The sequence below is a fragment of the Homo sapiens genome, chromosome 17 (assembly GCF_000001405.40).
Source record: "Homo sapiens chromosome 17, GRCh38.p14 Primary Assembly".
In the NCBI taxonomy this organism is placed as follows: Eukaryota; Metazoa; Chordata; class Mammalia; order Primates; family Hominidae; genus Homo; species Homo sapiens.
The window spans coordinates 13,887,789-13,899,349 of record NC_000017.11 but is presented as its reverse complement, the minus strand read 5'-3'; the positions used below and the strand labels follow the sequence as shown (position 1 = coordinate 13,899,349).

Sequence of the window (11,561 nt, the reverse complement as noted above, 5' to 3'; positions counted from 1 at the left end):
AAATCTGGGGATCTTGAGAAACACCAACTCCTGGGGCCCAGCACCATCTGACTCCCTGGGTCGGAGGTGAGGCTCATCATTCGCGTTTCTAACCAGCTCACAGGTGGTTTGTGGACCATGCTTTAAGTAGCACTGCTGTGAAGGAGATGAGCAGGCCATTGCTGGCATCCCAAAAATGTACTGTGTGTAGAGCAAGCTTGTTCTCAGACAGCTCCCATCACAACTGCCCCAGCTGCTCACCAGGCTGAAATCGAATTGTGTGGTTCAATGTAGAGAAGGGCAAACTAGACGTGGTTGAGTATAATTCAAAGCCATTGAGCCTGCCCCCAAACATACCCAGATACCTAAAGGGAAGTAGAGTTCTATAAGTTAACTGGTTGCCAACCATTTAAGTGAACTTCACCTATGAGAAGGCATAGGCTAGAGGCTGTGGAGATTTTATTTTTATTCAGGTATAACACAAGTCATAAGGATATAGTTTGATGAGTCTTCAAAATGTGAGACATGTAACATAACCCAGACCAAGAAATAGAATCTTTACTAGCACCACTGAAGACCCCCTCATTCCCCATCCCAGTTACTGAGCCACCCATAATCTTCTTACTATTTTGTTTTAGAGACAAGTTCTCACTCTGTCGCCCAGGCTGGAGTGAAGTGGCGCGATCTCAGCTCACTGCAGCCTTGAACTCCCATGCTCAAGTGATCCTCCTGCCTCAGCCTCCCAAGTAGCTAGGACTACAGGTGAGTATCATCACACTTGGCTAATTTTTTAAATTTTTTATAGAGATGAGGTCTTCTTATGTTGCCTCGGCTGGTCTTGAACTCCTGGCCTTGTGGGATCCTCCTGCCTTGGCCTCCTAAAGTGCTGAGATTACAGGTGTGAGCCACCACACAGGCCATCACTTGACTTCTGGTCCCCATAGATAAGTTTGGCCTGGTTTTGAACTTTTGTAGATTAAATCTTTTGTTTTTTAGGAATCTCTTCATATACTCCACAGTGTGGGATTGATCCATATTGTTTTGTGGAGCAATGGCTCGTTCTCATTGCTCTGTGGTGTTCCATTGCATAAATGAACCGCAGTTTGTCCTTTCTCCTGGGGATGGCATTTTGGTTGTTTCTAGTTCAGTGCACTGTTATGAACATTCCTGTACATGTCCTGTACAAGCTGTTGGGCATATACCCAGGAGTAACATTTGTAGTTCATAAGAATTTATATTCAGCCAAATAGATTTCCAAAGCGGTTATGCCGATTTACCTTCACAGCAGCAATGAACGGGTTTTTTTCAGTTTAACCATTCTGGTGGGTGTATAGTGACATCACACTACGATTTTGATGTGTGCAGGTGGACAATATGGGCAAGAAGCATAAGGTAAATGAGGGTGTGGAGGTGGAGATGTACATACTACATTTAGGGCAGCTCAACCAGGTTAAAATGCCTTCGTAAGTGAGAAATGGAACTGGATGTTTCAGCAGCAATTAGAGTGAGACAGGTCATAAATGCTCTCCTCCAGGCAGGCAGGGAGCACGGGCAATGTTTGAACCAGGAGGCTACAAATTGGACAGCTGGGAAGAATGTGAGAGTTGAATTAGACATTCAGAAACCACACACAGAGATCTCCACAGATTCTCCATAGTAAAAATGTAACTATTGAGCTTTTCCTATGTGCTAGAAGCTGTGTTAGTTACTAAGGCAGTGTAGGTATAAACATGAGTAAATCATATTCCCCATATCTCATGGAGACCACAAATATTGAGGAGAGAGGGGTAAGATATGAAATAAGTAAGGCGTTGGGATAAATACAGAGACTCACACAAGCTGTGCCTTTGCTCTGGAATCAAGGAGAAGATACTCATCAGTTTGGTCTAGTAGGGCTGGAGAATACTTCACGAGGAGGTGATATTGTACCTGAGTCTTGATCAATTAGTGGTGGTTCTTAAGAAGATAATGAAGGGCCAGGTGTGGTGGCTCACACCTGTAATCCCAGCACTTCAGGAGGTTGGGGCGGGCGGATCACGAGGTCAAGAGATAAGAGACCATCCTGGCCAACATGGTGAAACCCCATCTCTACTAAAAATACAAAAATTAGCTGGGCGTGGTGGTGTGTGCCTGCAGTCCCAGCTACTCGGGAGGCTGAGGCAGGAGAATCACTTGAACCCGGGAGGCAGAGGTCGCAGTGAGCCTAGATCGCACCACTGCACTCCAGTCTGGCGACAGAGTGAGACTCCGACACCAAATAAATAAATAAATAACTAAATGAATAAATAAATAAATAAAAAAGAAGATAATGAAGAGAGAAGAACGAGCAATGGTTTGAAGATGCAGAAGATTACAGCGTGGCTGGAGAAAGTCCAATAGTTTTGTGTAGAGGCACGAGGCTGGCGAGATCAGGCTGAAATTGTGTTTTGAGAGCAGATTGTAATAGGCCTTGTAAACACAACTGAACATGACTTTATATTACGGGCAATGAGCAGCCAAGTAAGGTCTTCAAAGAGGGGGTTGCTGTGATCCCTTGGAAGGATATTGCCATGACACAGGCATTGTGATCTAAGGTAGACAGCAGGGGAAATAAAAATAAAGTGACAGATGTGGCTTCAAATAAAATATGGCTCAGTTCTCTTGCAGGGCAAAAATCCTCATTTATTGGGAACTGGAAAAGTACTTAAGGTGAGGATTTTGTTCTGCTAGGGTGGGCCCAGTCTGAAGGTAATTTTTCAAAAGCAGCTGCTTTAAGTGCTAGTTAAATGGCGCCAGGGGATTCACTGGACACAGGTGTCATGTTCAATCTTATCCATCTATCAATAAAGCCAGACTCCCAGTGCCAGTTGGATGGCAGCACGGCACCTCTGAGACAGGAATTCTATTAACAGATGCATCTTGCTGCTTCATTTTAGGGCTGTAACTTCAGAGTATTCAAAGATATTCTGAAGTCCTTGATTTCTAACTTAGCTTCTCCACCGTCAGCTGTGGCTCTTGCCTGGATAACTCAAATACGTATGTCATATATGTTCTTACTATTGTTTTGAGTATGTTCCTACAGAACCTTCTTTTTCTGTGTCTTTAATACAGGTAAGGAATATCTAAGTAGTTAATTAATTTTTTGACTAGTTAATAGATGGTGTTAATGAATTTCTGTCCCACCCCTTTCACCAAGTCACTCAGTTTCTGTTTTCAGTGGCAGACACTCTCACCTCTTTCTTATTCCATGGGCCCTCCGTATCTGTGGGCTCTTCATCTGTGGGTTCCATATCCATGGATTCAACCAACTATGGATGAAGGATGTTTGGAAAAAAGATTTCACAAAGTTCCAAAAAGCTAAACTTGAATTTGGTACACACTGGGTACTACGTTGAATCCACACAAAGGAAGTGATATGTAGGCTTTGTATAAGACATTATAAGTAATTTAGAGATTATTTAAAGTATATCGAAGGATGTGTGTAGATTATATGCAAATGTGATGCCATTTTATATAAGGGACTTGAGCGTCCCTGGATTTTGGTATTGGCGGGGAGGCAGTGTCCTGAAACTAATCCCCATAGATACCAAGCAATGACTCTATATCATTTTAAAGATGTTCTATGCAATTACAAAAACTATAAGCACATGCCTTTTTTTTTCTTTTTGTAAAGCACAAATGGTAGCCCATTATATGCTTTGTCCTCTACCTTATGTGCCTCTTGAAAATGGTTTCTTACACTCTCTTATTTTTAAAGGCTTCACAGTATTCCATTGCGTGAATATGCCATCATTGATTTAGTCAGGCTCCTACTGATGAATATTTAAACAATTCCTAACTTTTTGCTATTTTAAACAGTCTTCAATGAGTAACCTTATTTCTTATTTAGACATATTTATAATAAATTTCTAGAAATAGAACTTCTGGGTTACAAGGTATGAATGTTTATAAATTTGAGAGATTTTCCAAACTCCATAGAGTTGTATATCAAACACCATGCAGGAGACACTGACCCCAAAATTCTCATGTGCTGCCTCTTTGTAATTGACTCCTCAACCAACCTCCCTCTTTGGCCATCATTGATGAGTGTTTTCATTCCTACAATTTTGTCTTTTCATGAATGTCTTATAAATAGAACCAATCAGTATATAGCCTTTCTATTCTGACGTCTCTAACTTAGCAATACCCATTTAAGATTAACCCATGTTGTTGAGTGGATCAATAGTGCATTCTTTTAAAAATAACGTGTCTATTGAAGTACAATTGACATACAGTAAACTGCATATATTTAAAATGTTCAATTCGATAAATTTTGATATAAATATACATACACAAGACCTTTACCATAATCAAGATAATAAACATATTATCTATCACTGTCAAAGTTTCTTTGTTCACCTTCGCAATTACTTCTCATGCCCTTGTCCACATTTCCCCTCCCTAAGCAACCACCTGGCTTTCTATCATTGCAGATAAGTTTATATTTTCTAGAATTCTATGTGTATGGATATACACTCCTTTTTGTCTGGCTTCTTCCTCTCAGCAAAATTATTTTGAGATTCAACCATAGTGTAGTATGCTTCACCAGTGAGCTCCTTTTTATTGCAGAGTAAATATTCCTTTGTATGAATCTAGCTCTGTTTATCCTTCACCTGTTGACGGACATTGTTTACAGTTTTTGGCTACAACAACTAAAGTGACCAGGATCATTCACACACTAGTCTTTTGCATGGATATATGCTTTTGTTTCTCTTGGGCAAATACCTAGAAGTGGAATGGTTGGCTCATATGGTAGGTGTATGCTCACCTTTTTAAGTGACTGCCAGACTCTTGCAGTAGTTACCCTATTTTACATTCCTATCAGCAATGCATGAAAGTTCTAATTTCTCCATGTTGTTGCCAACACTTGATATGGTCAATGCTTTTAAATTTTAGCCATTCTAATGGTTATATAATGGTAGTTCACTGTGTGTAATTTGAGTTTACCTAATGACTAATGATATTGAGCATCTTTTCAGGGATTTACTTGCCTGTTTGAATCTTATGTTTATGTTTTTAAAAATTTGTTTTCTTCTTACTGAATTTTGAGATGTCTAATATTTCGAATGCAAGTCTGTTATCAGATATATGACCTGGAAATATTTTCTCCTAGTCTGTCTGTGGCTTGTCTTTTTATTTTCTTAACAGTATCTTTTAAAAAGCAAAAGTTTTTAATTCTAATAAGATCTCATGTATCTGTTTCTTTTTTAAATGAATCATGCTTTTGGTGTTGTATGGAAAAAATCTTTGTCTAACTCAAGATTACAAAGGTTTTCTTCTGAATGTTTTATGGTTTTAGGTTTTACATTGAGGTCTCTGAGTTAATTTTTGGATGATTTTGAGTTAATTTTCTTTATGGTACAAGGTGTGGATTGAAGTTTATTTACTATGCTGAAAAGACCATCTTTCTCCACTGAATTGCATTTTCACTTTTGTCAAAAATCAGATTTCCATCTATGTGTAGGTTTATTTCAGGTTTCTCTATTTGTTTTTGGCCTTATTGTTTATCTTTACACCTGTACCACACTGTCTTGATTACTGTAGTTTTATAAGAATTCCTAAAATCAGGTAGCGTTAGTCTTCGAGTTTGTTCTTCTTCTGCAAAATTATTTTGCCTATTTCAGGTCTTTTGAATTTCCATATGAATTTTAGAATTAGTTTATCAATTTCTGCAAAAACACTTTTTGGAATTTTTTATTCAGGTTTCTTTGGATCTATAGATAATTTACAGGCAGAACTTGCGTCTTAACAATATTGATTCCTCAACCAATTAATGAACCTGTACATCTCTCATTCATTTAGGTTCTCTATTTTCTTAGAAAAGTTTTCTAGTTGCCACTAGTCTTTCACATCTTTGTTGGACTAATCTCTAAGTATTTCATAGTTTTGATGCTACTATAAATTATACTTTTGGTTATAATTTCGGTTTCTGATTGTTTGTTGCTGTTATATAGAAATACAATTTTTTTTTACATTGGTCTTGTATTTTGTAGTCTTGCTAAATTCTCTTATTAGTTCTAGTAGTTTTTTTTTTTTCAATTCCATCAAATTATCTACTTTGACAATTGTGTCATCTGAAAATAAAGGCAGTTTTATGTCTTCCTCTCTGAACTGGATGCCTTGAATTTCTTGTACTTGTCTCGTTGCACTGGTTAGAATCTTTAGTATGATGTCGACAAGAAATATTAAGAAAGAACGTCCTTGTTTTGTTTCTGATTTCAAAGGGCTAGTCATTCAGTTTTTCACTATTAAATATATTAGCTGTAAGGTTTTGGTTATTTTAAATGTCTTATATTAGATTGAGAAGGATTCTTTCTGTTTCTAGTTTGCTGAGAGTTTTTTTTTAATGAGGAGTAGACTTTGTCAAAAACTTTTTCTATGTCTATTGAAAAGACGAATGAGCAAAAAACATTCACCTACAATTCTACACCTAGCAAACATTTCTTTGAAAAATAGTGGTAGAATAAAAATGTGTTCAGGCATATAAGTGCTGGAATAATTTATTTTCAGCAGATCTGCATTGTAAGAAAAATGAGAAGAATTCCTTCAGGAAGAAGAAAAATGATACCAGATGGATATGTGGATCCACATAAAGGAACGAAGAGCACAGGAAATAGTAACTATACTGGTAAATATGTATTTTCTTACTATTTAAAACTGTATAAAAGATAATTATTTCAATAAAAGAACAACCATGTAGCATGGGGTTAATCATTGGTTGAGGAATCAATATTGTTAAGATGCAAGTTCTGCCTCTGAATTATCTACAGACCCAATACATGTATAAAAGTAGCATGTATTTCTATATAACAGCAACAATCAGAAATTATAACCAAAAGTACAATTTATAGTAGCATCGAAACTATGAAATACTTAGAGATTAGTTCAACGAAGATGTGAAAGACTGGTGAAGACTAGAAAACTTTTCTAAGAAAGTAGAAAGAGAACCTAAATGAATGAGAGATGTACATGTTCATTAATTGGTTGAGGAGTCAATATTGATAAGATGCAAGTTCTGCCTGTAAATTGTCTATAGATCCACTACATATATAAACGTAGCATGTATGAAAACAATAGCACAAAAATTGGCAGGAAGAAATGTAAGTATATTTTTGGAAGGTTCTTATACTGTACATAAAGTGGTACAATGTAGCACCCCATTTTTACAGCTAGATTGTGGTAAGTTAAAACGGTATTAATATAACATAAACTTTAAAACAATCACTAAAATAACAAAGAAAACCAATAAGCAACCAATGTTGTTAAAATGAATTCATAAAAAGATATTCAACTAATCCAAAACAAGGCAGGAGAAGAGTTTTTCTGCAGAAAAAGAAAATACGGACACATAGAAAATAAATAGTAAGGTGACAGATTAAAACCCACCGACATCAATAACATGTTAAATGTAAATAGTCCTGCTTGAGTACCAGTCACTGTTTCTTCTAATCCTTTCAGGTGGGTCTTTCCTCAGCCTCAGGTGGTTTCTTCACAGGCATTTGTTGATGATTGCTCACCTGAATACTACACAAGAATCTTCTGCAGATCTCTGCATTTCCGTCTCTTTGTAGCTGTCTTTTCTACTCTACTCTGTCTTGGGAATTCTAGCTGTCTTGGTTTGCCTGAATTCTCAGCTCTGTGTCTTCAACTCAGGGAGTCCACTGGACTCTAACTGAGTTCCTTCGCTCTGTGTCGTTGCTTGGAAACTCTCAAGGAAAAAAGTTGTGTTGATCGTAAGGCTTACCTTATTTCTCCCTTGTCTTATAGAGATCATTGTTCTTCCTTATTTGGTGTCCAGTGTTTTGCAAACTGTTGTTTTCATATATTGTTTTCATTTGTTTGTTTGTTTCATGTGGAAGGGCAAATTCAGTCTCTGTTACTCCACCTTGCTCGGATGTAAAAATCAATTTAATATTTTTTATTGTTGAGAGTATTCTATTGTATAGATGTACCACTGTTTGTTTATCCACTTACATATTCAAGGTCTAGGTTGTTTCCAGTTTTTTGCATTTATGAATGTATCTTCTATCCACAATTGTGTACAGCTTTCTGTGGGAACATACATTTCCAATTCACTTGGATTGATATCTAGGGCACTTGGATTGATATCTAGGGGTAATATGGCTTGCTCGTTTAGTAAGGTTATATTTAATTTTATAGGAAACTGCCAAATTGTTTATCAGAGTGGCTGTACTGTTTGGCGTTCCTGCCAGATAGCTAAGTGGGTTCCAGTTGCTTTGCAATTTTGCCAGCACTTGCCATTATAAGTTATTTGTTTACCTACTTATTCATTTTGAGTCATTTTAATAGATGAGTAGTGCTATCTCATTGTGGCTTTAATTTGCACTTCCTTAATGATAAATAACATTGAACATCTTTTAGTACACTTGTCATCTGTATATCTTCTGTGATAAAATGTCTGTTCAGAACTTTCACCCATTACAAAATATTGGGTGGTCTGTTTTCTTGTTCTTGAGTTTTGAATGTTCTTAATATATTATGAATACGTCCTTCATTAGATTTTATTTGCAGATAATTTCTCCAGTTTATGACTTGTCTTATGTTTCATTTTTAAATCTCTTTAAGAAGGATTTAATTTGTTGAAAAGACTGAGTTAGAAATGCAACTTTATCAATGTCCCCATACCATTTATTGACTAATAGGGAAAATAATTTTAAGTACACCAATTTTTACCCCCATTTAAAGTCACTTATATTGGTGTTCCTGAGCATAATTTTAGAGTGAATTTATTTTAGCAACAAAGATTTATGTTCTTGTTTGGGTTTCCCACTAGTTACATGATTTTAAATATGTCATTAGTTCTCCCGGCTCGATTTCCTCAGCAGCAAATGTTCAACTTTGAATATAAACTTGTCAAAGTTACTACATGGACTGCAGTAACACTTTCTGTTAACAACTTTGCTCTGAAGTTGTAGCTTTTTTTACATCTTCATAATAACATAATAGTACATTTAGTTCACAGTAATATTCATATATATTTTTTGATTGATACTATTCAAATAGTTTTAGGACTAGAAAATGTATACACAGATAAAAAGGGGAAGATGGTGCAAAGAGAAAGAGATTTTACATTTTAGCAAGAATAAACATCTACAATTTATTTTTAAAATCTCACTTAAACAAAATACGTTGGCCCAGCGAGGTGGCTCATGCCTGTGCTCAGCACTTTGGAAGGCCAAGGCGGGAGGATCGCTTGAAGCCAAGAGTTCAAGACCAGCCTGGGAAATAAAGTGAGACCCTATCTTCACAAAACATTAAAAAAAAAAAAAAAAAGCTGGGCATGGTAGTGCATGCCTATGGTCAGGAGGCTAAGGCAGGAGAATTGTCGAGCCTAGGAGTTCAAGACTGAAGTAAGCTATGATCACACCACTGCACTCAGCTTGACAACACAATGAGACCGCATCTCTACCACCATTTAAAAAAATTAATTTACTGACATAGGTAATAAATTACTTCAGATATAGTATACATAACATTTAGGGGGCATTGGAGTAATCAATCACCTATCAGTCATCTAATGATTATATTAGATGACCTCAACTTAGTCATTATTAATCATTATTAAGTTGAGGTATAGAGTTAAAATATAATTTTGAGGCAAAATTTAATCCTAGTGTCTTTAATCCCACCATTTCATTATAAAAAGTTTCCAACGTACATAAAGTTGCAAGAATTATACAACAAGGCTGGGTGTGGTAGCTCACACCTGTAATCTCAGCACTTTGGGAGGCTGAGGCAGGAGGATCACTTGAGCCCAGGAGTCTGAGACCGGTTTGGGCAGCATAGTGACACCCTGTCTCTAAAATAAAATGAAATAAAACAAAATAAAATAAATTAGTCGGGTGTGGTGGCGCATGCCTGTAGTCCCAGCTACTTGGGAGGCTGAAGTGACCTAGGCTTGATCCCAGGAGGTCAAGGCTGCAGTGAGCCACCTTGGTACCACTACACTCCAGCCTGAGAAACAGAGTGAGTCTCAAAATGAATAAATAAATAAATAAAAGCAACAACAACAACAAATATCCATGTACCTGCCTACTTAGATTCTACTACTAGCATCTTACTAGATTTCCTGATTCATCCATATATCCATCCTGTTACTCATCTATCAATCCACTTTATTTTCTGATGCATTTCAAAGGTAGTAAATTTTTAAAATTTGTTTCTTATCATGAGGAAACCTTTTGGTTATACAAGTAAAAATTGTGAGATAATTGTTTCTAACATATATTGGCCCATGCTTGCCCACCCCCGCCTCCCCCACTCAAAAACAACGACAACAAAAAAAAACCCATCACCATGTTAAATCCTACTAAGGTTCCCAAACTTGAGGCACCTTGCAAACCAACAAAAAGATTCCTGGGCCCAGCTCTGGATATGTTGAATCCAGATACAGGGTGGCACCCTAGTATCTGAATCCCCTCACGCCCCTCCTCCCTCCATCTCCACAAGTGGGTGAAGCACTAACTAAAGCTTTAGCTCAGACTCACCTTGAGAGAGTCTAGTAGAAAGAGCAGATGTGAAGAGGGGCCATAACATGCCTTAATTATGCAAGTCTGGGAAGGCCAAGAGAGAATGATATTCTAGAAGAAGTCAAATTTGATGAGGGTAAGATGTGCTCAGACAGGGCTGAAATTAGACTGGCGCTCTGAAATAGCCCTTTGCGAAGCTAGATGTCTGAAAGAATCATTTGAACGAACTTAAAAAGAAAAAGATGCTTGAGTCTTAACAAAGAGCTTCTGATTCGAAAGCTCTGGATGGGGGCCCGGTGTCTGTATTTTTAACAAACGATGCAGGCATTCCCGATGCCACTGGTCTCTAGCCAGTATTTATGAATTTCTCCAGAAATAAAGAAGCGGGGGGGGGCTACAAAAGAGCTAGCTGAGACTTGATGGCTTTTTAGTACAAGTTAAGTAATACTTTAGTATGAGTTAAGTAATACTAGTGTGTGTGAGGCAGAGGCTGGGTCCGCCAGCTTGAGTCTCAGCTGTGTCTATTGCCAGAATTTACATGTCTGCATTACCAGTAGGACTGGCCACCAGAAGTTGATAGCCATAAAGTGCCATGGAGAAAAACTTGGCCCAGTGCCAAGCCCATGTGCAGTGGAAGGGAGAGAGGAATCTGAGTTCCAGGCAGTGCTTTGCACTCAGATTTGTATCCTGATCCTGGCTGCTATCTGGGAACCAACAAGGACGATGTGTCTGAGCAAAAATCTAAAGAATTTTTGGCCAATAACAGTAAGATATGGAAACACAGGCAGCATTTTTTTGTTGTTCATAAGAAAGAGTGAGGTACAAAAGGAACAAAAGAAGGGAGAATTTTACAGGGAGCTTTGGTGCCCTATGGACCCCAGAAAACAGCATTCCCTGTCCTTCTGCATTCGTTGGAGAACATAGTGAGGGATGGCAATTCCTAGCAGAAGCCAGTGGCAAGGCTCAGAGGGGACCTTCATGCCTCAGGACATCATTGGTGTCAAAATATCAGAGCAAGAGAATGTTAACCACTAACCAAAGCAAAGCCAGAGGTGACACTGTTCTCCTTGGGAG

The 11,561-nt window shown here is 37.7% G+C and overlaps 1 long non-coding RNA gene across 3 annotated transcripts in view; it reads left to right on the top strand.

Moving 5' to 3' along the window:
* The first annotated feature begins 724 nt into the window (after positions 1–724).
* The window catches only part of LOC100506974 (uncharacterized), a 108,299-nt gene continuing 97,462 nt past the window's right edge, over positions 725–11,561 (top strand). For 2 of the 3 annotated variants that reach the window (XR_001752796.1, XR_001752794.1), the window contains exon 1: positions 6,339–6,625. This is a non-coding gene — a long non-coding RNA (uncharacterized LOC100506974). Of the gene's footprint in view, positions 742–6,338; positions 6,626–11,561 lie in introns of those variants that run through there. The other variant, XR_001752795.1, reaches the window with a different exon arrangement.